Below are 24,816 nucleotides of genomic sequence, written 5' to 3'. Positions count from 1 at the left end.
AGGTTCCATTCCTTGGAATCCGTGAGGCCAAGAACCCCAGGTCAGAGAACAAAAGGCTTGCTGCCATCTTGGGAGCAGCCCGCCCCATCTTGGGAGTGGCCTGCCACCATCTTGGGAACTCTAAGAACAAAGACCCGCCGGTAACATTTGGTGGCCCGTACGGCGCTTCTCCAAAGCGGTGAGTAATACTGAACCACTTTCACTTGCTATTCTGTCCTATCCTTCCTTAGAATTGGAGGAAAATAACCGGGCACCCATCAGCCAGTTAAAAACGATTAGCGTGGCTGCTGGACTCAGGTGTGAGGTTTCCTGGGAAAAAGCTTTCTAACAACCCCCAACCCTTCTGTGTTGGGAGCTTTGTTCTGCCTGGAACCAGCTTCTGCTTTCACAATTTTCCTAGGGAAGCCGAGGGTCGGCTAGAGGCAGAAAGCTGTCGTCCTGAACTCCTGGCATTGGCCGGTGGAGATCATTGCACAGCCAGAAGTCTCTACTCAACAGTTGCCCATGTGTGTGCCCCTACCTCTCCTTCTGACCCATATCTCCTGGGTCCTAACCATGACTTTCTTGAAAGTGTAGCCCCAAAATTCTCCTTACCTCTGAATCTACTTCCTCTGATCCCTGCCTCCTAGGTACTAATGCTTCAGACTTTCACTTCCGTTCCCAAGTATTAGAGCAGGTTGTATCTCCAAAGGGATCTAAGGAAGCTCTACGCTGTGTCCTTAAGCACCTAGGCAATGAACCCAGGGAGTCTTGGCCCTGGTGACTCTCCCAATTCAGGCATACAGCTCTCGACATGGGCAGTTATGTGGGACCCGTTCCCCACCACCCTTGCCAGGGCCTTAGAATTGATAACCCAGTACTTTAACAACTGGAACTGGGTCTACAACAACATAATAGATCAGGTTGAAAATGAATTGAGTAAATTAAAGGGAGGCACATATTCCTATAGTGGCAAATGGGGGCAACAAGCGAATGTCCTTCCACTATGTTTCCAAAATCCTTCTACAGAGGCAGAGAGGAGAAAGAGAGAGGCAGAGAGGGAGAGAGAGAGGAAGAAACAGAGACAAAAGATGAGTCAAACAGAGAGAGACAGAAAGTCAAAGAAGAAAGAGAGAAAGAGAAAGATAGAAATAGTAAAGGAAAAACAGTGTGCCCTATTCCTTTAAAAGCCAGGGTAAATTTAAAACCTGTAATTGATAATTGAAGGTCTTCTCCGTGACCCTATAACACTCCAATATTACCTTGTTGTCAATGTAAACAAGGGCATAGCCCAAAACACTGAGACCACTGACAACCCATAGCCTTCCTATCAAAAATTCTTAACTCAGTAACCCGCGAATGGCCCAAATGCATTCAATTGGTAGCGGCAACTGTCTTGCTAACAGAAGAAAGTAGAAAAATAACCTTTAGAGGAAACCTCATTGTGAGCACACCTCACCAGTTCAGAGCTATCCTAAATCAAAAAAAGCAAAAAAGTAGCTTACTAACTCAAAAATCTTAAAGTATGCGGCTATTCTGTTAGAAAAAGGTGATTTAACACTAACCACTGAAAATTCTCTTAACCCAGCAGATTTCCTAACAGGGGATTTCAATCTTAATTACCATACAAAGTCCGATCAGACCTAGGAGGAACTCCCTTCAGGACGACAGATGGTTCCTCCCGGGTGATTGAGAAAAAACCACAATGGGTATTCAGTAATTGATAGGGAGACTCTTGTGGAAGCAGAGTTAGGAGAATTGCCTAATAATTGGTCTGCTCAAACGTGTGAGCTGTTTGCACTCAGCCAAGCCTTAAAGTACTTACAGAATAAAAAAAAAAAAAAAAAAAAAAAAAAACAACTCTATCTCAATACTGAGTCAAAAGTTTACCTACACCCTCTCCAAAACGAATTCGCATAAGAACTGTTGTTTATGGGAATGAATCTGGATGGGGCAGCTGGGTTGTTTGAAGTACTCAGGAATCCAGCCCAGCTCTAGGACTCACCCCTGAGCCAAAGGCAATGTTGGGCATGCTGGTAAAGGACCACTAGAATCCAGCAGCCTGGACCCCTTTCTTTGTGGTCAAGAAAGGCAGGAAAAAGGGTGCAGGACTGCTACACTGGTGAGTGTAACTAATCCGATAAGCAGAGGTCCATGGTTGGTTACACACCCTGGAAAGGAATAAGCATTAACACCATAGAGGACGCTCTAGGACTAAAGCTCATTGGAAAATGACTGGGGATCCTGGCATCCCTATGTTCTTTTTTCAGATGGGAAACATTCCCCCCAAGGCAAAAATGCCCCTAAGATGTATTCTGGAGAATTGGGACCAATTTGACCCTCATACGCTAAGAAAGAAACAACTTATATTCTTCTGCAGTCCCGCCAGGCCACAATATACTCTTCAAGGGGGAGAAACCTGGCCCCCTGAGGGAAGTATATATTATAACATCATCTTACAGCTAGATCTCCTTTGTAGAAAGGAGGGCAAATAGAGTGAAGTGCCATATGTGCAAACTTTCTTTTCATTAAGAGAAAACTCTCAATTATGTAAAAAGTGTAATTTATGCCCTACAGGAAGCCCTCAGAGTCTACCTCCCTGCCCTGGTGTTCTCCCAGCTCCTTCCCCAACTAATAAAGACCCCCCTTCAACCCAAACAGTCCAAAAAGAGATAGACAAAGGGGTAAACAATGAACCCAAGAGTGCCAGTATTACCCGATTACGCCCCCTCCAAGTGGTGGGAGGAGGAGAATTTGGCCCAGTCAGAGTGCATGTACCTTTTTCCCTCTCAGACTTGAAGCAAATTAAAATAGACCTAGGTGAATTCTCAGATAACCTTGATGGCTATATTGATGTTTTACAAGGGTTAGGACAATCCTTTGATCTGACATGGAGAGATATAATGTTACTGCTAAATCAGGCACTAACTCCAAATGAGAGAAGTGCCGCCATAGCTGCAGCCCGAGAGTTTGGTGATCTCTGGCGTCTCAGTCAGTTCAATGATAGGATGACAACAGAGGAAAGAGAATGATTCCCCACAGGCCAGCAGGCAGTTCCCAGTGTAGACCCTCATTGGGACGCAAAATCAGAAGATGGAGATTGGTGCCGCAGACATTTGCTAACTTGCATGCTAGAAGGACTAAGGAAAACTAGGAAGAAGACTTTGAATTATTCAATGATGTCCACTATAACACAGGGAAAGGAAGAAAATCCTACTGCCTTCCTGGAGAGACTAAGGGAGGCATTGGGGAAGCATACCTCTCTGTCACCTGACTCTATTGACGGCCAGGTAATCTTAAAGGATAAGCTTATCACTCAGTCAGCTGCAGACATTAGAAAAAAACTTCAAAAGTCCGCCTTAGGCCCCGAGCAAAACTTAGAAACCCTATTTAACTTGGTAACCTTGGTTTTTTATAATAGAGATCAGGAAGAGCAGGCGGAACGGGACGAACAGGATAAAAAGAAGGCCACCGCTTTAGTCATGGCCCTCGGCAAGCGGACTTTGGAGGCTCTGGAACAGGGAAAGGCTGGGCAAATCACATGCCTAATAGGGCTTGCTTCCACTGCGGCCTACACGGACACTTTAAAAAAGATTGTCCAAATAGAAATAAGCCACCTCCTTGTCCATGCCCCTTATGTGAAGGGAATCACTGGAAGGCCCACTTCCCCAGGGAATGAAGGTCCTCTGGGTCAGAAGCCACTAACCAGATGATCCAGCAGCAGGACTGAGGGTGCCCAGGGCAAGCGCCAGCCCATGCCATCACCCTCACAGAGCCCCGGGTATGCTTGACCATTGAGGGCCAGGAGTTTAACTGTCCCCAGGACACTGGCGCGGCCTTCTTAGTCTTACTGTCCTGCCCCGGACATCTGTCCTCCAGATCTGTCACTATCCAAGGGGTCCTAGGACAGGCAATCACTAGATACTTCTCCCAGACACTAAGTTGTGACTGGGGAACTTTACTCTTTTCACATGCCTTTCTAATTATGCCTGAAAGCCCCACTCCTTTGTTAGAGAGAGACATCCTAGCAAAAGCAGGGGCCATTATACACTTGAATTAGGAGAAGGAAAAAGGGTAAATATGTATACAGACTCTAAGTATGCTTACCTAGTCCCCTATGCCCACGCAGCAATATGGAGAGAAAGGGAATTCCTAACTTCCGAGGGAACATCTATCAAACATCAGGAAGCCATTAGGAGACTATTATTGGCTGTACAGAAACCTAAAGAGGTGGCAGTCTTACACTTCCAGGGTCATCAGAAAGGAAAGGAAAGGGAAATAGAAGGGAACCACCAAGCAGATATTGAAGACAAAAGAACTGTAAGGCGGTACCCTCCATTAGAAATGCTTATAGAAGGACCCCTCATATGGAGTAATCCCCTCCGGGAAACCAAGCCCCAGTACTCAGCAAAAGAAACAGAATGGGGAAACTCACGAGAGGACATAGTTTCCTCCCCTCAGGATGTCTAGCCCATTAAGAAGGAAAAATACTTTTGCCTGCAGCTAACCAACGGAAATTACTTAAAAACCTTCACCAAACCTTTCACTTAGGCATTGATAGCACCCATCAGATGGCCAAAACATTATTTACTGGACCAGGCCTTTTCAAAACTATCAAGCAGATAGTCAGGGCCTGTGAAGTGTGCCAAAGAAATAATCCCCTGCCTTATCACCAAGCTCCTTCAGGAGAACAAAGAACAGGCCATTACCCAGGAGAAGACTGGCAACTAGATTTTACCCACATGCCCAAATCTCAGGGATTTCAGTATCTACTAGTCTGGGTAGATACTTTCACTGGTTGGGCAGAGGCCTTCCCTTGTAGGACAGAAAAGGCCCAAGAGGTAATAAAGGCACTAATTCATGAAATAATTCCCAGATTCATACTTCCCCAAGGCTTACAGAGTGTCAATGGCACCGCTTTCAAGGCTTCAGTAACCCAGGGAGTATCCCAGGTGTTAGGCATACAATATCACTTACACTGCACCTGGAGGCCACAATCCTCAGGAAAAGCCGAGAAAATGAAAGAAACACTCAAACAACATCTAAAAAAGCTAACCTAAGAAACCCACCTCGCATGGCCTGCTCTGTGGCCTATAGCCTTACTAAGAATCCGTAACTCTCTCCCAAAAGTGTGACTTAGTCCATACAAGATGCTGTATGGATGGCCCTTCCTAACCAATGACCTTGTGTTTGACCAAGAGAGAGCCAACTTAATTGAAGACATCACCTCCTTAGCTAAATGTCAACAAGTTCTTAAAACATTACAGGGAACCTGTCCCTGAGAGGAGGGAAAGGAATTATTCCACCCTGGTGACATGGTATTAGTCAAGTCCCTTCCCTCTAGTTCCCCATCCCTAGATACATCCTGGGAAGGACCCTACCCAGTCATTTTATCTACCCCAACCATGGTTAAAGTGGCTGGAGTGGAGTCTTGGATACATCACGCTCAAGTCAAACCCTGGATACTGCCAAAGGAGCCCGAAAATCCAGGAGACAATGCTGGGTATTCCTGTGAACCTCTAGAGGATCTGCACCTGCTCTTCAAGCGACAACCATGAGGAAAGTAACTAGAATCGTGGATCCCCATGGCCCTCCTTTGTCACATTTTTCTTTTTACTGTTCTCTTACCCCCTTTCACTCTCACTTCACTTCCTCCATGCTGCTGTACTACCAGTAGCTCCTCTTACCAAGAGGTTCTATGGAGAATGTGGCTTCCCAGAAATATTGATGTCCCATCGTATAGGGGTTTTTCTAAAGGAGACCCCACTTTCACCACCCACAACCATATACCCCTGCACTTCAGGCCATACATTTCAATCCCTGTATCTTTAACCTCCTTGTTAAGTATGTCTCTTCCAGAATCGAAGTTGTAAAACTACAAATGGTTCTTCAAATGGAGCCCCAGATGCAGTCCATGACTAAGATCTACTGCAGACCCCTGGACCAGCCTGCTAGCCCATGCTCTGATGTTAATGACATCAAAGGCACCCCTCCTGAGGAAATCTCAACTGCACGACCCCTACTACGCCCCAATTCAGCAGGAAGCAGTTAAGAGCGGTCGTTGGCCAACCTCCCCAACATCACTTGAGTTTTCCTGTTGAGAGTGGGGACTGAGAGGCAGTACTAGCTGGATTTCCTAGGCTGACTAAGAATTCCTAAGCCTAGCTGGGGAAGGGGACCGCACCTACCTTTAAACACGGGGCTTGTAACTCACCTCACACCCAACCAATTAGGTAGTAAAGAGGACTCACTAAAATACCAATTAGGCTAAAAGCAGGAGGTAAAGAAATAGTCAAATCATATATTGCCTGAGAGCGTGGGGGAGGGACAATATTCGGGATATAAACCCTAGGCATTCGAGACGGGAGTGGGCAACCCCCTTTGGGTCCCCTCCCATTGTATGGGAGCTCTGTTTTCACTCTACTAAATCTTGCAGCTGCACACTCTTCTGGTCCGTGTTTGTTACGGCTCAAGCTGAGCTTTCGCTTGCCGTCCACCACTGCCATTTGCAGACCCGCCACTGACTTCCACCCCTCCGGATCCAGCAGGGTGTCCGCTGTGCTCCTGATCCAGCGAGGCGCCCTTTGCCGCTCTGGATCCAGCTAGAGGCTTGTCATTGTTCCCACATGGCTAAGTGCTCGGGTTCGTCCTAATTGAGCTGAACACTAGTCACTGGGTTCCACAGTTCTCTTCCATGACCCACGGCTTCTAATAGAGCTATAGCACTCACCACAGGGCCCAAGGTTCCATTCCTTGGAATCCGTGAGGCCAAGAACCCCAGGTCAGAGAACAAAAGTCTTGCCGCCATCTTGGGAGCAGCCCACCCCATCTTGGGAGTGGCCTGCCACCATCTTGGGAGCTCTAAGAACAAAGACCTGCTGGTAACAGCTGGATAAGCCCAACTGCTTTGTAGCTGCCTGTGTGTGGCAAACAACTAACACTCCTTAGGCCTCAATTTTTTAATTTATAAAATGAAAGCAGTAAATATCACATCATATAAGTTGTTGAGTATTTATGAGAATTAAAAGGAATAATCGCCATAAAAGGCCTGATACTGGCAATAATATATTTGACAAATATGAGTTTCTCTTTTTCCCTTTATTCTACTTTACGGCAACTCCTACCTCCTATTCTCTTTCTTTTGCTACTAAGCAGACATCTGGGTTTGTTTGTTTGTTTCATCAGGGAGAGGTTCTAAACGTTGTATCCTTTAACCCTCAAAGCATCATCTATTCTCTTAGAGGGTAAAGGGCAGAGATGTTATCCCTGTTGGTTTCTAACCTTGGAGAAGGTCAGAAATGTCACGAGCTCTCTATAGATCCTCTTATCAGCTTCTCTTACACAATCCTTTGGTTCTGTGTGTGGTGAAAACTGGATTGGGGGAAAATCAGATCAGTAGAAACCAAATGTTGAAGCAACTGGTGAATAGAGAAATACAGATTGCGTATCCCTACAATGGAATGTTATTCAGCAATAGAAAGAAATGAAGTATGCACCCATGCATGGAATGATGCACGGATGTTTACTACAGCATAGAAGGACCTTGAAAACACAGGGCTAAGTGAGAGGAGCCGGACAGGAAGGATCATGTATTGTATGGTCTGCTCATGTATGATCTGCTCACATATTGTGTGATCTGCTTACATGAAATGCCCAAGGTAGGCAAATCCACAGTCAGGAAATAGATTGGTGGTGGCCAGGGGCAGGGACTTTTGGGGGAAAATAGGGAGTGACTGTTAACAGGGACCTGCTTTCTTCTGGGGTAATGAAAATGGTCAAACATTGATTGTAGTGAGGGTTGTGCGGCTCTGTGAATATGCAAAAAACCCATTGAATTGGACACTTTAAATGGGTGCAAATTATATTCCAATAAATTATTTGTAGAAACTAAAAAAAAAAAAAAAGAAAATTGGGGTACTGAGGTTTTTTCTCCTTCTTTCTTTGTAACTAAAAATCAGCACCAGTATTGGTTAGAAAAAAAATACAATGTTCATAGTTGCATTTTCTTACCTTTTATGACATTTACAAAGCCCTCTCTCACATATGTTTTAAATTCATTGTCACTCTCTTAACATTTACAAAGAGATATGGCAAATGTTATCATCATGTGGATTTTGGAAGCAAAGATGCTAATTGGCTGTGACACAGACAATAAATGGCAGAGCCAGGACCAAAACTCTTGCTAGTTACTCTCCACCCACAATGCCTGGCTGGTACATTCCTCAGGCTGGTTTTTGTTGGTTGGTTGGTTGGTGTTCTGATTTTTGTTTTTTCCCCAGGACTACCATAAGTCATTACTCTCTACTGATTTTCAGCAGTTTTAAAAGAGTACAAACGACTAAAAGAGGCAAAACAGCCGAAAATTATTGTCTGCAGGAAAAATTAGAATCTCCAAGCACTGGATCTGCTTTCAAATAGCAGACCAGAATCACTGTTACCAAATGAAACATTTAAAACTTAAGAGGAAAGTGGAATATAGAGGAAGTAAATAGGAGAAGAGCTACAAAGAAAAGCAAAAACTGAAAAAAAGGTACAATATTAAGTAAGCAAGTACAACATACAGTGATTCCTAGGCTGGGACTTAAGGTTTTTTAATGTAGTGTACAACATTTAGAATGCTCAATCAAATCCTAATTATCATTGGTCTCTGTCAAGGCTTAAAGTTTAAATGTGTCTGTCACATGCTTTCTTCTTAATTTATATTTCCAGCATATACTTGAGCAAAAAACATCTTTCACAAAATATAAAAAATAAAGGTAATCTTGAATTTGGTGCAATTTTAGCTTGAAGGTAATAGCATTACAGAAAATATATTGAATCTTTCTCAGAAAGTAGGGTGTCCACTTTCAATTTTAATATTGAGGTAACCTTTGTTAAAAATCCATGCTCAGCTGGAGATATATGTATTTTATTAATGGCTTATTTATCTCAACTTTCAGGTAATCCACATTCTCACTTTTTAAAATTGTTAATTAGAAAAAGGTATACAGAAAAATTGAGTATGCAAAACACTAATTGAAATAAATTGTTATTTACTAATCCCTACTAAAATTATTAGTAAAGATACAATTAATAATACAAATAGCTAACTTTGAAAGTTAAAACAGTGGTTGACAGGCAAGAGGCTCAAGAACTCTTGAGGCATTGTAATCTATGTTTTAACAGGGGTGACGGTGGTTATACAAGTTCATTTATTTTTCAGAAGTGACCATACTGTTCTTAGAATCTGTGGATTTCACTCTTATGCAAATTATACCTAAAAATTACAGAAAATAATTTTTTAAATAATCAGTGATTAAAAAGATTATATGACTTGATTCTAATGAAAACCCTCTTTGCTTTCCGAACCTTTTTAAGTACTTTTTTTTTTTTTTTTTTTTGAGACAGAGTTTCACTTTGTCACCCATGATCTCGGCTCACTGCAACCTCTGCCTCTTGGGTTCAAGTGATTCTCTTGCCTCAGCCTCCTGAGTAGCTGAGACTAGAGGTGCACACCACCATGTCCACTGATTTTTTTAATTTTAGTTGAGACAGGGTTTCACCAAGTTGTCCAGTCTGGTTTTGAACTCCTGAGCTCAGGCAATCCTCCTGCCTTGGCTTCCCAAAGTGCTAGGATTGCAGGTGTGAGCCACCGCACCTGGCCCCAACCTTTTTAACTCTCGTGCTTAGCAGTAGTGGGACCTATCTTGCAGTGAGGGGCTGAAAAGAAAGCAGGAAGATGGGATGACCATATGCCATTCCACAGTCAGTTCCAGGGTGGTTGCAAACCTAAGTTATGAACACAGGCAACCAGCTTGGATTTGAAGGGTAGGCTGAACAATAAAAATGTCTGTACAGTTCTCTAGAACAGTTGCATTAACCAGCCTTGGAAAGGAGAAAGGGCTTCTATTTATGCCAAGATCTAAGCAAACAGATGAAGCAGAAGCACCCAGCTTAGGTGATCTCAAGGTTCTCTCAGGTATGTAAATGGATGTGGCTTTGTATAAACATAGGAGGAAAGGCTGGGGCCGACCCTAAACATAAAAAGTGCTTAGTTCATCTAGACACACCCAAATTTCAATCATACATGATGAAATAAAGCTCTACACTGCCCTAAGTCATCCGCCAGATTTGACTCACTGCCTCACATTTTGTCTACTCTGGCATAAATAGTGGGTTCCAACTGATGGAAATGTGAGATGGAGGGCAAAAATTGTTAGGGTCTCAATTCAGTGACTGTTCTCTCAGAAGGATTACATGAATTTAATCTCATCCTTGATAGCAGAGGAAAAGAGGATGAGAAAAGGGGTTGAGCTGCCATCTTGATCAAAACTGAGTAATGGACATGGGAATTTCAAGAGGAAACAGAAATCTGTGAAAAACTCTACGAATCTATGACTTTGAATAAAGTATCTTATAATCCATTTTATTATAATTTCTGGTGAAAAGTTTGGCATGCATAGTTAACTCTGGGCTCCTGGCTGGATCAGGTGGTCTCTGAAGCAAGCAGCAGATTAAAAGAATACAGGAGCATTAGAGGCCGGGCGTGGTGGCTCATCCTGTAATCCCAGCAGTTTGGGAGGCCGAGTCAAGTGGATCAAGAGGTCAGGAGGTCGAGACCATCTGGCTAACACGGTGAAACCTCCTCTCTACTAAAAATACAAAAAAGTTAGCCGGGTGTGGTGGCGGGCGCCTGTAGTCCCAGCTACTCGGGAGGCTGAGGCAGGAGAATGGCGTGAACATGGGAGGCGGAGCTTGCGGTGAGCCGAGATCGCGCCACTGCACTCCAGCCTGGCGATAGAATGAGACTATGTCTCAAAAAAAAAAAAAAAAAAGATTCTCACCAGGGAAGCCCCTTCTTTATCTGTTTTATATATTGAACAATCAAGATCAATTCTAGTTGAAAAAATATTTATTGCTCAACAATAATTATTTGTCTTACGACAAAGTGAGACTCCGTCTCAAAAAAAAAAAAAAAAAAAAAGAATACAGGAGCATTAACGACAGCCCCAGATAAAATCAGGGGTGAGAACTGAGCAGTTGGAAGAACTGACAAACTAACTGAATCAGGGGGATTTACATATTTCAATATTTTAGAGCTTCAAAAAATTTCAATGCTCAAGATACACTTTAGACCAATTAAGTCAAAATCTCCAGGAACAATACCCCATCATCAGTACTTTTTAAAGCTCCCAAAGACTTCCAATGTGCAGCCAGGGTTGATCAGAGTAGCCTAGAGAATAAGCAGTTGTGCTGATGGAAGAGGTAGAAGAGCAGTCAAAGTCATGGTTACTGAGGTGGTAGAACCTCAATACAAAAACTATAAGGTCAAGCCAGGAGAAATAATGCTGTCATTTTGTTTTGACTTCCAATTATTTATAAAGTATTTTAATAATCACTTTAGATAAATTACTTCTAACATCTATAACACCCATTCTCTTAACAGTCAATAAAAATCTGAACGGGAACTACATGTACGAGGTGTACATGAAATGTTTCATAAAATGGCTATTGTTATTAACCTTCAGTTTAACATATGAGAAATTTGGAGTACTGAGAGGTTAAGTGACTTGCTGAAGTCACATGGATGATAGGAACCAAAGTCATCCTAACTCTAATACTCATACTCTGTCTACCATACAATGCTTCCCTGGATAGACATGAAATAGGTTCTGATAGGTGGGAATGAAAATCTGAGAACACGCTTTGAGTGTCATCAATAAAGAAGTATCCTGGAGATAGGTAGATAGGGATGTAGAAAAAACAGCAGAAATGAAATAGCATGGGGTTCAAAGCACAGAAATCTGATATATAAGAGCAAAGGAACAATGGCTCAAAATAAAGATGGCAACAGAGGGATGGTGAGGAGGGGAGGGAGTGTATTAAACTTGTTAAATATTAAAATAAAGATACTTAAAAATGAAAGTGTATAAAATGAAAGTCATTAAATTTATAAAGAATGAAATACCAAATCAGATATAGGTATGGGGAAGGCTTATATATATAGGTAGGTAGACTGACAAATCTAGATATATAAATAATGCCTATATATATATGATATATCTCTCTCTCTCAAAGCATTAGTACTAATTGTTTGTGGGAAGTGGATTAGGGAGCATTTTCACTTTGTTCATAGTAGACATTGTACAAAGAAATGTGTGCTGCCTATGTTCTTTTTAACCACTCTGGAAAGTTTATCAGCTCCTTTCTTTGGTCCTGTGAAACTGGTTTGGAGATGGAGTCAGAGGATCAGAGGCCTCCATAGGAGAAGGACATTTTTGTTATCAGGGGAAAGCCAGGTTTGACATGACTCATGGAGGTGAAAGGGATATTCCAGAAAAGCTGAAGACAATAAAGCATAACTCTGTTCCTTAGCAACTACACATTATATTTACTTTTCACACCTGCCTCTCTGACAGCAGTGACACCCTCTTCTCAACTTAAAAAAATTTCAAAGATGAACAGGCTGCACTTAGTTCTTATAGCTCCATTTCCTCAGTTTACAGTTCACAGCACAGACTATCAGAATCATAGAGTCACAAATATAAGGGAGGTTAGATGCTGCAGGTGGTTTGTTCTAAGCTATTTATTTTAAATCTAAAGAAAACAAGGCCCAGGTGGTTGAAATATATCAGTGAGCTTGTGCATCTTCAGCACTTTTTTATCACTTATTACACTTGTTCTTATACATGATTTTTACTACACTTGAAGTTTTTTTAGTCTTTTTTTCCTTAGCTTTTTTAGTGCTTGACACACTGAAAATGCTCAATAAATGTTCATCAAATTGAACTGAATTTTTGAATAGAATCCAGTCATAATGTAACTCCTGGTCTTGTCATCTTTCCATTATTCCAGGTTTTCAAATTATGCTTCAAGGAATCTCATTGGCAATACAGGAAGGCCTATAATCCCAGCACTTTGGGAGGGTGAGGTGGGCGGATCACCAGAGGTCAAGAGTTGGAGACCAGCCTGGCCACCATGGTGAAACCCTGTCTCTACTAAAAATACAAAAATTAGCCGGGCATGGTGGCAGACACCTGTAATCCCAGCTACATGGGAGGCTGAGGCAGGAGAATTGCTTGAACACAGGAGGCGGAGGTTGCAGTGAGCCGAGATCATGCCATTGCACTCCAGCCTGGCGATAGAGTGAGACTACATCTCAACAAACAAACAAACAAACAAACAAACAAAAAAACAAGACAGAATCTCACCAGGGAAGCCCCTTCTTTATCTGTTTTATATATTGAACAATCAAGATCAATTCTAGTTGAAAAAATAATTATTGCTTAACAAGTTTTGAAAACCACGGTACTATACTTTTAATATGGTTGATTAGAAGGGGTCAGGGAAAGGGGTCAGTTCAAACACAAATGAAGCTAAATATGTCTGAATACGGAGAAAAAAGGAACTCCAAGCATTGTTTTCATCAGAACAGTTAAAGACTTGAAGCCTTCTCAAAAGAAGGCCCAGTTGAAACAATAGTTTATCAGAGCAACAACTCAGATTGCCAGTTTGGACAGCACCCAAGTACTACTTAAGACTCCTCCATTCCCCAGGTTTATTTTCAGCATCATCCTCAAGCATAATGTGCTTTCCCAATGCACTATTGCAACACCACTACACATGAGGTAGAAACAGAAACCTTGCTAAACAGGTTCTGCGTTTGGCAAAAGTGCCATGAATATGGGACATTGTACATCTCCATGCCTGGGGAAAATTCCTCGGTCTTTTTGGTTAACACCTTATAGAAATGTAATGCATGGAGTTCTCTACATGAGCACAAAGTAGACTAATTGATACGAAGAGCCTGTAAATATGTGTGCAGCGGCAGATTTTGAACATTTGGACCGAACTGTATTTGACACAGCGCAATATCTGGAACTGGTTGGTCAAAACCTGCTTGTCTTGTTAAATTTCCTCTGTCCAAGGACATGGAATCTCTCTCTAATTTTACTTCAAATTTCCCTTTCCTTCATTTCTCTAAAAACGTTAAATAAGAAAGAAGATTGTAAAGCCAGCATTTGAAGCCTAAGTATTGAAAGTCTTTGACAATTTCTGAAATCAGACTTGACATCTTTCCCCCGCCTTGCAAATTTCTTGAAGAAATAAGAAGCTACATGTAAGCATCATCATGTTTATTAAATTACAATGAGAACTCTCACTCAATCTTGACCAGAGCAGACTCTTAACTTGGAAGCAGAGTCCCTCTAAAGGTAACTCTTGTGGTCACTCAATATTGTATTGGCATTTGCATATTAAATAGACATTTCAGTAGCATTTATTCAAATTGAATACTCTCAATTGAATTGCTAAAATATTGGAGGTGTCCACACTTGATAAACTACTCAGCTTTTTGCCATGTATTTTTCATAAATGCAATATAATCTTTTAAAGCACAATATTAATTTTTCTCAAGCCTTTTCCTCATCTTACCATCCAATGATTTGATATACTTTCTTTAATTCAGTTGAATATTTTCTAATTAAAAATGTAACATCAACAAAAATAACAGGAGTAAGCACCTTGTCTTATTTACTTCTGAAATCTAGGGATAGAGGAGTGCATGCCATACAGTTGGCCTTTAATTAATATATGTTGAAATAATTAATTAAAAGTATAAAGAAGAAAATAAAAGTCACTAACAATCCCACCATGAATAAACAGCTACTATTAAAATTTGAGTATTTCTATCCAAAGTATGTTTTCTTGAGCAGTATATTCAGGACTGACACCTTGCTGATACTCAGAAGTATGGCCATACTAATTGTTAATTTACAAAGGAAAAAACAAAAACTGAAACTACAACTAAGCTCCTTAAAGACTTCCATCTCCTTACTGGCTAGCCTATCCTTCCCAGGAAACTTTCACCAGGACCAGATACCTGTATAGTCAGTCCCTGGAACAACTTGTGACTCTAGAAAACTGCTCCAGAACTAAGGTCTTCGTCTATTCAAAGTGGCCAGTACTAGAGCCCTAATATTTGCCTTTTCAACCTATATGTATTTATCTGGAACTGGATATAGTACCTCAGTTAGAATGTACTTGTCACCGTAAGTAAACACCGATCACTATAAAATAAATTACTGACTTCACCTTTAAAATAAATGCAATGAAAATTATCTTTTTGATTAAGTAATAATGCTCCTCAGAACATACAGGAACAGCAGTGTGGTACTGAACAAAGACCATGGATTAGAGTAGGGATGTTCTGGGTTTGAAAGGTGCATATATTTCTAATCATCTGACCTTGGACAAATTACTAAATGATGATAAAATTCTGCTGTTACTACTTAATATGAGAATAATAAAACTGTATTCATAAGAGTGTTGTACAAATTGAGAGACAATTTGTAAGTAGTCTATGCTTAATCCACTGGAAGGCCATAATAAATTATAATAACCAATTTTCTTAACACTCTAGTTGTTACACATACCAAGAACTTTGTCTTGGTTTCCCCTGCATGAAGATAATTTTCTGACAGGGAGAACGGAGATATTGTCAATTATTTATATTTCAATTGTTTCACTTTTATAAAAATTCAGTCACAACCAGTCAGTTTCCACATGATACTTTCCATCTTTTGTTCATGACCTAGGAAATGGCATGGCATCTTGTTTCTTTTCTCCTTTTTTTTTTTTTTTTTTTTTTTGAGACAGAGTCTTGCTGTGTCGCCCAAGGTGGAGTGCAATGGTGTGATCTTGGCTCACTGGAACTTCCGCCTCCCAGGTTCAAGCAATTCTCCTGCCTCAGCCTCCCACATAGCTGGGACTACAGGCACGTGCCACCATGCCCAGCTAATTTTTGTATTTTTAGTAGAGACGGGGTTTCACCATGTTGACCAGGGTGGTCTCGAACTCCTGACCTCAGGTGATCCACCTGCCTTGGCCTCCCAAAGTGCTAGGATTACAGGCGTGAACCAAGTGTCCGGCCTTCTCCTTTTGTATTTAAGACTGCTGCCTCTAGAGTCAATAATTTAATCCTAAACTTATGTATGTTCATCATTATAGTGAGCATACAAAAAAAAAAAAAAGGGAATTGCACCATATTTCCAAAGAAGAGAACTGGCATTTACTGAGGACTTACAATGTCCTTGAGTTTGTGCTAGATATTTTTACATTAAGTCACATCATCTTCAAAACAACTCAGGTTAAGTAAACATTATCCATCTCACTCATTATATAAACAAACCGAGACTCTTAGAGGTTAAGTTATGTGAGGAAGTTACTTGGCTGGAATGCTGAATTTCTTCCATGGTTTATTTCAAACATAATTTGGAATAGAACTTTCTTGGCTATATGATCTGTAACTTCTTTCTAGGAAGAAATTAGCATCACAGATAAAACGTTTACGTAAGTTTCTGACACAGCAAAATGAGACAAGGAACTTCTGGGAGGTGAGCTGCTCATCCCACCAGTGGCCCATCAATCAGCAGTTCAAAGGCCTGTGACTTGACATGCTTTCCTTTCTGAGTCTAATAATATTTACTAACCATTTTTTTTAAATAAACATTTCTACTAAGATATAAATCTTTGCATTGGTCTGTTAGAGGACTTTTGCTTTATGGCAAAACTCATAAGATTATGATCCATGCTCATAGCTTAATTGTCTGAAAATATTTCTTTTAAGAGAACACTATATCTGAATTTGTAGATATAGTGTAGTTAAATATGTCTGAATATAGAGGAAAGCACTGTTTTCATCAGAAGAGTTAAAGACTTGGAGACTTCTCAAAAGAAGGCCCACCTGAAACAATAGTTATCAGAGCCTTCTTTTGGCTCTCTATTCAGGAGTGGTATGTTAATTTACATATGTTCTATGGTGCCCAACACAGGTAATGGAAGAGAAATAAGATCTGAATACATGAAGCCAGAAACTATAGGAAATTGTAAAAATTTCAACTAATCTATGAAAGACACTAGAGATTTTGCCAAATTCACAACAATCTTAAAAATGTACGTAATACTGCCAGTGATGAATTATGAAGCTGAAAGAAACTTTGAAACTATCAATAATAAAAACAGAATTAACCATGCTAGAGAAAGAGGAAAGACTGAATTACTTTTATATTCCCTTTATAAAATATTTTTTAAACATCATATAAAGACATAATTTAAAATCTCTAAATTTGCAGACAAATATAGCCCAAAAAGCATTACAGAGATGTGTTTAGCAGTCAGTTGATTAAAATATTTTTAACCTACTGGATTTTGCTTTTTGTGTATGTTATTTTGGAGTTTTAAAAAATTTATAAATTTGTGATTTTTTCCATTCTCATTACTTTTGCACCTCATTTTGTATTGGTATTTTTGTAATCTTTTTCTTAAAAGGGGCTTCCAAAATTGTATATCTCTTCTCATGAATGGCTATAATGCATTAGAAACTTATGTGCCAGTCATGTTGTTACATATTCTACACATGTCTACTCATTACATCCTCATACCAGCTTCATGTGTAAGAAACTGTTCTATTGCTCTTTTACTGGTAATAATGCTGTTCAAAAGTGAACTCGACTCTGCCCCAGGTTTGTCTGACTCCTCAATGTTACTAAAGTACTTATATTTAAAAGAGGGGATTCATAACAACTTTAACTGGATCTTTTTCATGAAAAAAAAGATCCACGTGACTTAATACTTTCTTTTGCTTTTTAAACAAACAAAAAGTGAGGCAGATAAATAGAAAATCCTAGCATATCTAATCTGTTGCTTTCTCCTAATTCAGCACAAAAATTGAGTTCCTTTTCTGTAGCTAAAGAGCTTGTATGAACTGTCAGCTTAGCTAACCATATGTTTTCAATGTTCCCTGCAAATTGTTTAAGGTATGTATAGTCCTTTCAATGGATGAGTAAGTCTTTTGTCATTGTTATTTGCTGCCTGTGGACTTGATTTCAAAATCTTCTTCAGGTCATGAATAAATTTCCTTTTCCTTCTGTCCCTACTTTTGAGCCAAGGAACAAATCAAGATTCTTCCTCAGAGTGTACACACCTTCCCAGGCATCTCACTCTCTCCTCACTCTATCTGCTTCAAGTTATGGCTCGTTGGTGAGAACACTCTGCTGCTGAGGTTATTATTTAGCTATAATAACTTTTTCTAACTAGACAGAAACAAATTAGATATGCCAGGATTTTCTAATTACCTGCCTTAAGTGCTTTTTTAGAAAGCATTAATAAATCATGTGGATCTTTTCCTAGCAGTGGTAAGATAAGTTATAATATTATCAAACTGTCAGTTTTGCCACTTCAATATATGTATGCCTGGTTGTAACCTCACTTAATAAGTTAAGTCCATGTAAAAATAGTTGATAGTTAATAAATTGGGCAAGAGTTGCTTAAACAGATTAGACTATATAACAAAATTAGGGTTTTAAAAGAATAAAGCTGCTATAACAGTACGCTTCATCTCACAGGAATTAATCAGTTATGGTATCTCCACAAAACAGAATATCACGTATTGTTGAAGAGAGCCGTCTCATTTCCCTGCAAGGCTGCCATTTGTAGGTTGAAGAGTCACTTGAGTGCTGGAAAGAAAAGGCTCTATTTCAGAATTCTTCTAATAGCAGGAATCTACAGGGAGCCTATAACTCTCCATTTTAGCAATAGGCCTCTATCCCCATATTCTACACACAGCTTTCTGCCTGTGAACATGCACAAGTGGTCTATCGAGACTAATATAATCGTACTTTTTAACCCTGTTCCTATCAGTTACTTCAAGGAGCCCACAATTTCCAGATCATCCCTCACTCCCCAGGAACTGATCCTCATGCCACCAGGAACAGGGATTGCCTTTGTGATGATCGCCCGCTCCTTCCCAACTTTTGAAACAAATTCACTATTCCCTTTTTACACAAAGTCAAGGCAAAGCCTTTTGTATCCCTTCACCTTCTTACTCTAATTGAAACCTGGGACTCCCCTAAAACCCCACTTTCCATGTAGCACACTCAAGTGATAGCTCTTTGTCTCCTATGTCAATACGTACTGCTGAGGTAGTGAATTTCTTGCTCCTCATTGCTGCTTTAGGACCATATTTCCTCCCTCCTAAACAATTTACAGATTCGAATCTCATATTGTCAATTCATGCTTCCTACTGCCACTCCTTGTGGTAGTCATCTTCTGTCTCCTGGAGACACTTACCTAACATCTATGAAGATTTTAAACTCATGTCTTAATATAACTCTTATCAACATACTCCCAAAATTACTCTTGGAAATTACAATATACACAGATAATCTTTCTAGTACTCTGGCTTCTCAGTTCTTTGATCTCTATCTTCAAAACTGTTTTCTCCTACTCGGTCTCACTCATGTGCTCCCACGACATACTTTTGATCAATAGTAGCAGGCCTTCCATGATATTCAATAATTACATTCATAGTTCTAGTTCACTCCCTATAAACTGCAATTCCAACATTCTCTTGAGCCAGATTATCAGTTCATTGATCCTATCATATTTTTACTATCCTTTCCTCCCTTTGTGCCTTCACTTTTGTCTTTATGTATCCTAATGGGCAATCATTATACTCAATTGGGTGCAAATGCCCTCAACTCTCTAGCTCTTGTTTCAGTTTGTCATAAGCCCATGGTTTAAATACAACCCTAGTTAAACCCATCACTCCATCTACTATCGATTTGTACTCATGCACATTAACATAGCTGGAAAAAAGCACAGCTATTCTGAGTAAATTGTTTTATTTTATATTAATGATTACTAACTTTGAGTAGATCTTTGAGGCTGCCATGCTGTAATACTTTCTCTCTCTCTCTCTTTTTTTTTTTTTTTTGAGACGGAGTCTCTCTCTTGTTGCCCAGGCTGGAGTGTAATGGCGCAATCTCAGCTTCACTGCAACCTCTGCCTCCCGGGTTCAAGCCATTCTCCTGCCTCAGCCTCCCAAGTAGCTGGGATTACAGGCATCTGCCACCATGCCCAGCTACCTCTTTTTTCTGTATTTTTAGTACAGACGGGGTTTCCCCATGTTGGCCTGGCTGGTCTTTAACCTCAGGTGATCCGCCCACCGCAGCCTCCCAAAGTGCTGGGATTACAGGCGTGAACCACCATGCCCAGCCACTTTCTCTCTCTTTTTTAAAAAAAATCTGATACCTATACTCTCAGTTGACAATTTTTCTGTCTACATGACTACCACCAAAACCATATCTACCCACTTATCTATCCTTGTGTCCATATCCTCTACATTCTTACATGTTAGAAGATTTCTGCATCTCTAGTTAAGGCCAACTCTTCTTGTGAAATGGCTCCTATCACTAACCACCTACCAAAGAAAACTGCTCACAATCATATAAATGTGGCCAAGGAATGTCCTTAAGTGAAAAAAAAGTCAAGTTTCAGATCTGAATGGGCCAACGTTGAGAAGAATATTCTAAAAAGAAGAAAAAGTAAACTTACAGCTGTCTCATGAATAGTATATTCACTTTTTGTTATTATTGTTGACAAATATATTAATATTTATTCAATCTTTTATCAATTCACTCATTTAATCTTTCACTTATAAGTTTATCCAGCATTTACTCTGTGCAAGGCATTAGTCTAACCCTGTGGATAAAGCAATGCAGAAAACAGACAAAAACGTAAGCTGTCACGAGCTGACTTTTCTAGTATGGGACTAGATAAGAAATACATACATAAATAAGATATACAGTATGTTAGATGGCAATAAGTGCTATGAAGAAAATGCAGCAGGAGGAGTGAGAATAGGTCAGGAAAAAAGGGTTTCAGTTTTACAAAGTGTGATCAGAGAAAGCCTCTCTGGCAGGGAAAAATTCAGGTAAAAATAAAGAAGAGTTTACTCATTCATTTTTCATGAAATTAATATTCATTGAGTAACTACTATGTGCTGAGAGATGCAAATTCAAAATAATCTAATATGTGCTTGTACACTTAGTTAGATTCCTCTCAACATTTATTCATGCTGACACTGAAGCCTCAATTTTTATCATCTCCAAAAAAATTATTATATTTATAATTAATTAAGTCTAATTGAGTTTGACTACTAAGTGTCCAGTAACACACAATTATTTTATCTATTTTAACTTGACTCCACACACAACTAAGAAGTAGTGTCACTTTCTTTATTGTACAAATGAGAAAATATTCTTGGAAACGTGATGGCAATTATCCAAGGTTATGAAACCATTAAGTGGCAAAACCAGGATTCAAAACAAAGAAACTGTGACGTGGTAGCCTGAGCTTGTTCTACTCAGCACACTGCTTCCTTGGTGATTATAAATCTGGAGAATCTAGCCAGAGACAGAGCCCCAGAGTGCTAACACTGAATAAAGATTTCATGGGGCCACCTGAGCGACAAAGTCTTTCTGCTAACATGTGCGGACTATGATCACGTCAGCAAAAGTATCATTCTGAAGAAAGTATTGTTTATTTTTTAAATGTTTCCATCATCTTGTAACAACGCTATCCTCTACCTTTTTTGTTTTTGTTTGGCTAGAACTGGAAGGGAAGATAAAAAGATATAGTGGACACTATGTGAGACCCTAAATAATACAGAAAAATACCCAAGAAAATATTTTAAACCTATGAACAGCTTCAAGTACTATTAGCCATCACATAGAAATTATTGAAAATGTCTGATTTACTACTCTGAATTTAATAGCTGCACAATGTCAGTGGTTTTGAAAATGATTGTGTAATCGCTAAAATAATTTTGTGAAATTATTTATCTCCTTGTACAAAATTTCTTTCCATTATATATTTAAATAGTCGTAAAGGTTATGATTTCCAGTGCTTTATAAAAATGGACATTTTAAAATAAATTTATACTAGTATTTTATACCTAATTGTGTCTCTTTAAAAATATACCTTTAAAAAGCACTAATCTGTTGCAAAATTTAAATTGTTCATTTTATCTTTAAATCTATTTCCATCCAATTTCTACTTCAAAATATTTCTAATATATATTTATGTTTGAAAGTGTTGATTATCTTGCATAGTACTCTAAAATAATTTTAAAAATGAGATAGCAATTGTTTAAATTTTTAAAATTTCTTGTGACCATTAGGCTCTTACCTTAAAAAACAATTAGAATTGAGTAATCATCAGAAGTAATAAAACAATATAATCAATTTTAAATTTTAATGAATATTAAATGCAAAATCTAAGACTGTTATATTCTTAAGGATATCAATAGGGTTTGTGTTTGTTTTTCAATTCATATTTTATATTGTTACAATATGGTATTTTCAATTATATATTTTATATTTCAAAATGTTTACTAAGAAAACAGGTTCACATAAATATATAGATAGAAATGCAACAGGTTTTGCTATAGTCTTATCATTCAATTCTTTTAACTATGGTCGAATTAAATGCCCCAAATCACATAAAGATCTATCCTTTAAAGTTATTTTTAGTTGATTGACCAGGTTTACAACTTTCTTTAGCTCACCATTTATGTATGTATGCATGCAAGTATGTATACTTGCATATATGTATATGCAATATCATAACCTCTGCTTAACCAAGGGCATTGTCCTAGAATTTCCTTAACCCCAAAATGGAATATTTGACCTTTCCAAAAAGTTATAGTTAAGTGAAGAAGATCTTATTATAGCACCATATTACTTACCAGAGAAAGATAAACTTGAATAATAAACAACCATTAGCATTTATGAGAATAATCCCTCTATTTCTATCCTAATAGAATATTGAAATAAATTAAATGTTATCCCCAAATACATTTCCCAGCCGTTAAATTCTATTTTATTTATAAAGAATATCATTAAAATACTCTCAAATAATAGATTCATAATGTAATTTATTTTACTATTATTCAAATATTTCTTATTTGCTTAAAGTACCTATGTCCCTATGGGGAAACAAACATGAATTCCACTTGTAGCCTGTATCAGACTAAATATGCTATCAGTGAATCTGATCAATGCAAATTCCCTACATGTGACATCAGCATCAAGATTTGATGCTATAGGATTTGTACAAAAAGATACTCTTTTGGATTCAAAACAATGTTTTCAATTAGTTTGAAGTGTGGTCCCAAGCTATGTCTGCTTCTGTATTCAGATCCATTAGTGATATTCATGTGTCTTCGTGTTCTGGAAACTCCACTTGTGAGTGGTTCTATCATTGCAGACTAGGAAGAGGTTTTTCTTCCTCCCAGTATGTATTGTGAAACGTAATTAATGAGTGTAAAGCAATTGGTGAGTGCCAGATGAAAGGCACCATAGTGGGTAAGTACCAAAAAAAATTATACAAGCACTGCACAGTGTGTCATCTCAGCTGGGTTTGCTGATGAAATTGCAGGTAATTATCTCTCATTGTGGAGTTCCTCTGGAGAAAGGAGGTCTAAAGTGGGATTGGTCTTACCTAGAACCTAGGACTGTATCTCAGTGAAACTTGTTTGTTTGGCTAGAAATTACTTTTTAACTCCAACTCCATGAGTAAACAAAGGTTTCTGATAACAACTAAGTGAGCTAAGTAACAACTGAGGCATTAAATTTACGTACAGTTTACATTTTATAAGTTTATTTCCAGATGTGCTCAAGACAGTGAGGGTAGGTAAGGTTTATCTCTAGGGTGAGGTCTAATCAATTGATTATGATTGTAAGGAGGGCAATGATGAATAGGATTCTGGGCCCACAGAAAGGGTCTTCAGGAAAAAGCAACATGAGAAATTAGCGGGACTTTTATGGCAGTGAAAACGGAGAGCTATAGCAAAAGTGCATTGCAATGTTTATGCCTGGTATAAGCCATAATTACTATGGTTAAGGCAGAAGGGGATAATGATATTCCCACACATATTGCAGAAAAGGCCTAGGGAAAAGGTGCACCCAGTCCTGCCCAATCATGTTCAGTTCTCTAACTACAAACAGAAAATATATTTAGTTGGATTTTTACCTAAAAAGTGGCTAATCTGAAAATAAGCCATTGAATTCTATTAAGCCACTGTTCAGTAACTAACTGTTTGATTAAATTTAACCTGCTTTTCTTCGTACCACAGTAGAGACAGCTTAAATATCTTTTGAGACAATATTTTTTCGGGGTTGGTTTAATTTCTAATCAAACTCTGAAGGGGCCTTTGGGCTTCAGAAAATTTAAAACTATAGAATTACCTTGTTCTTTCCTCGGGCCAATTAACTGGGCAGATTCTTTGCATTCCATTTGAAGCTTACTAGCTCCTGCATTTTAGCTAAAGTTTCGTTTCTCGCTCAGCAGTTGAAAACCTATCTCCTTGTGCAGCAGAAACCAAGTATGAACCTCAGGCATATTGAGCTGAACGGCCCTTGGCGCCATCCCCAAACGCTGATGTGCGGAAGATCCCAGTTTCACTCTTCTCCCTTTCATAAGCTCTGAAAGGAAGTGTAGGAAGTATGCCAAGTTGTTATTCAACTCTAGTATTTAATCAAGCATTACCTGGGCACTTCTGAAATTCTCCAGCTTCTAAAGTGAGAGTAAACCAGAGAGAACACAGGGTGGAAACTACTTAATCGAGAAGGCTCCTAGGATAAGTGAGGATCACATGGCCATTCTCAGGCCCCAGTTCCTCTCCAAACTCCTGAAAGTCAGCAAGAAACCGAATCTCAGTCATGATGATTATTTTTCATGTAACACCTCACAGCGTTCTCAGGGATCCCAATATATGCTACTAATTCACTTTGTGTTAAGTAGGAGTTTCTTAAAAAAACAATTTCAGTGGACCTCAGAATAGACGCCTCACTACTGACCCCACTACATTTTCTCTACTTAGGCTTTAAGTACACAAATAGGGCAATCTACTAGAGTACAGAAAAATTGTTTATGATTTCAGAGAATGTGCGGCTGGCATAGAGCAACAAGTGCAGGGCATGACTTGTTTGGATTCCTCACCTGCAAGGAGCAGGG

At 39.2% G+C, this 24,816-nt stretch overlaps 1 protein-coding gene and 2 long non-coding RNA genes across 9 annotated transcripts in view; 2 read left to right on the top strand and 1 right to left on the bottom strand.

The window, feature by feature from the left end:
- Positions 1–24,816, bottom strand: part of ANO3 (anoctamin 3) — a 474,482-nt gene that overhangs the window by 65,993 nt on the left and 383,673 nt on the right. Inside the window, exon 1 of one of the 7 annotated variants that reach the window (XM_011520282.4) lies at positions 24,048–24,253. The exons of the other annotated variants lie outside the window; for them this stretch is intronic. Coding sequence (XP_011518584.1) covers positions 24,048–24,096 — 49 coding nt within the window. The 5' untranslated portion in view covers positions 24,097–24,253. Of the gene's footprint in view, positions 1–24,047; positions 24,254–24,816 lie in introns of those variants that run through there. 7 annotated transcript variants of the gene reach the window in all.
- On the top strand, positions 123–8,155 carry LOC107987160 (uncharacterized). The gene is made up of 2 exons (XR_001748157.2): positions 123–178; positions 5,338–8,155. It is a non-coding gene; the product is annotated as an uncharacterized LOC107987160 (long non-coding RNA).
- Positions 8,430–15,294, top strand: LOC124902648 (uncharacterized). Its single transcript, XR_007062627.1, has 2 exons — positions 8,430–8,509; positions 12,814–15,294. It is a non-coding gene; the product is annotated as an uncharacterized LOC124902648 (long non-coding RNA).

The sequence above is a fragment of the Homo sapiens genome, chromosome 11, assembly GCF_000001405.40.
Source record: "Homo sapiens chromosome 11, GRCh38.p14 Primary Assembly".
Lineage (NCBI taxonomy): Eukaryota > Metazoa > Chordata > Mammalia > Primates > Hominidae > Homo > Homo sapiens.
Note: the sequence above shows the minus strand (reverse complement) of the source record. Positions and strands in the feature narration are given on the sequence as shown.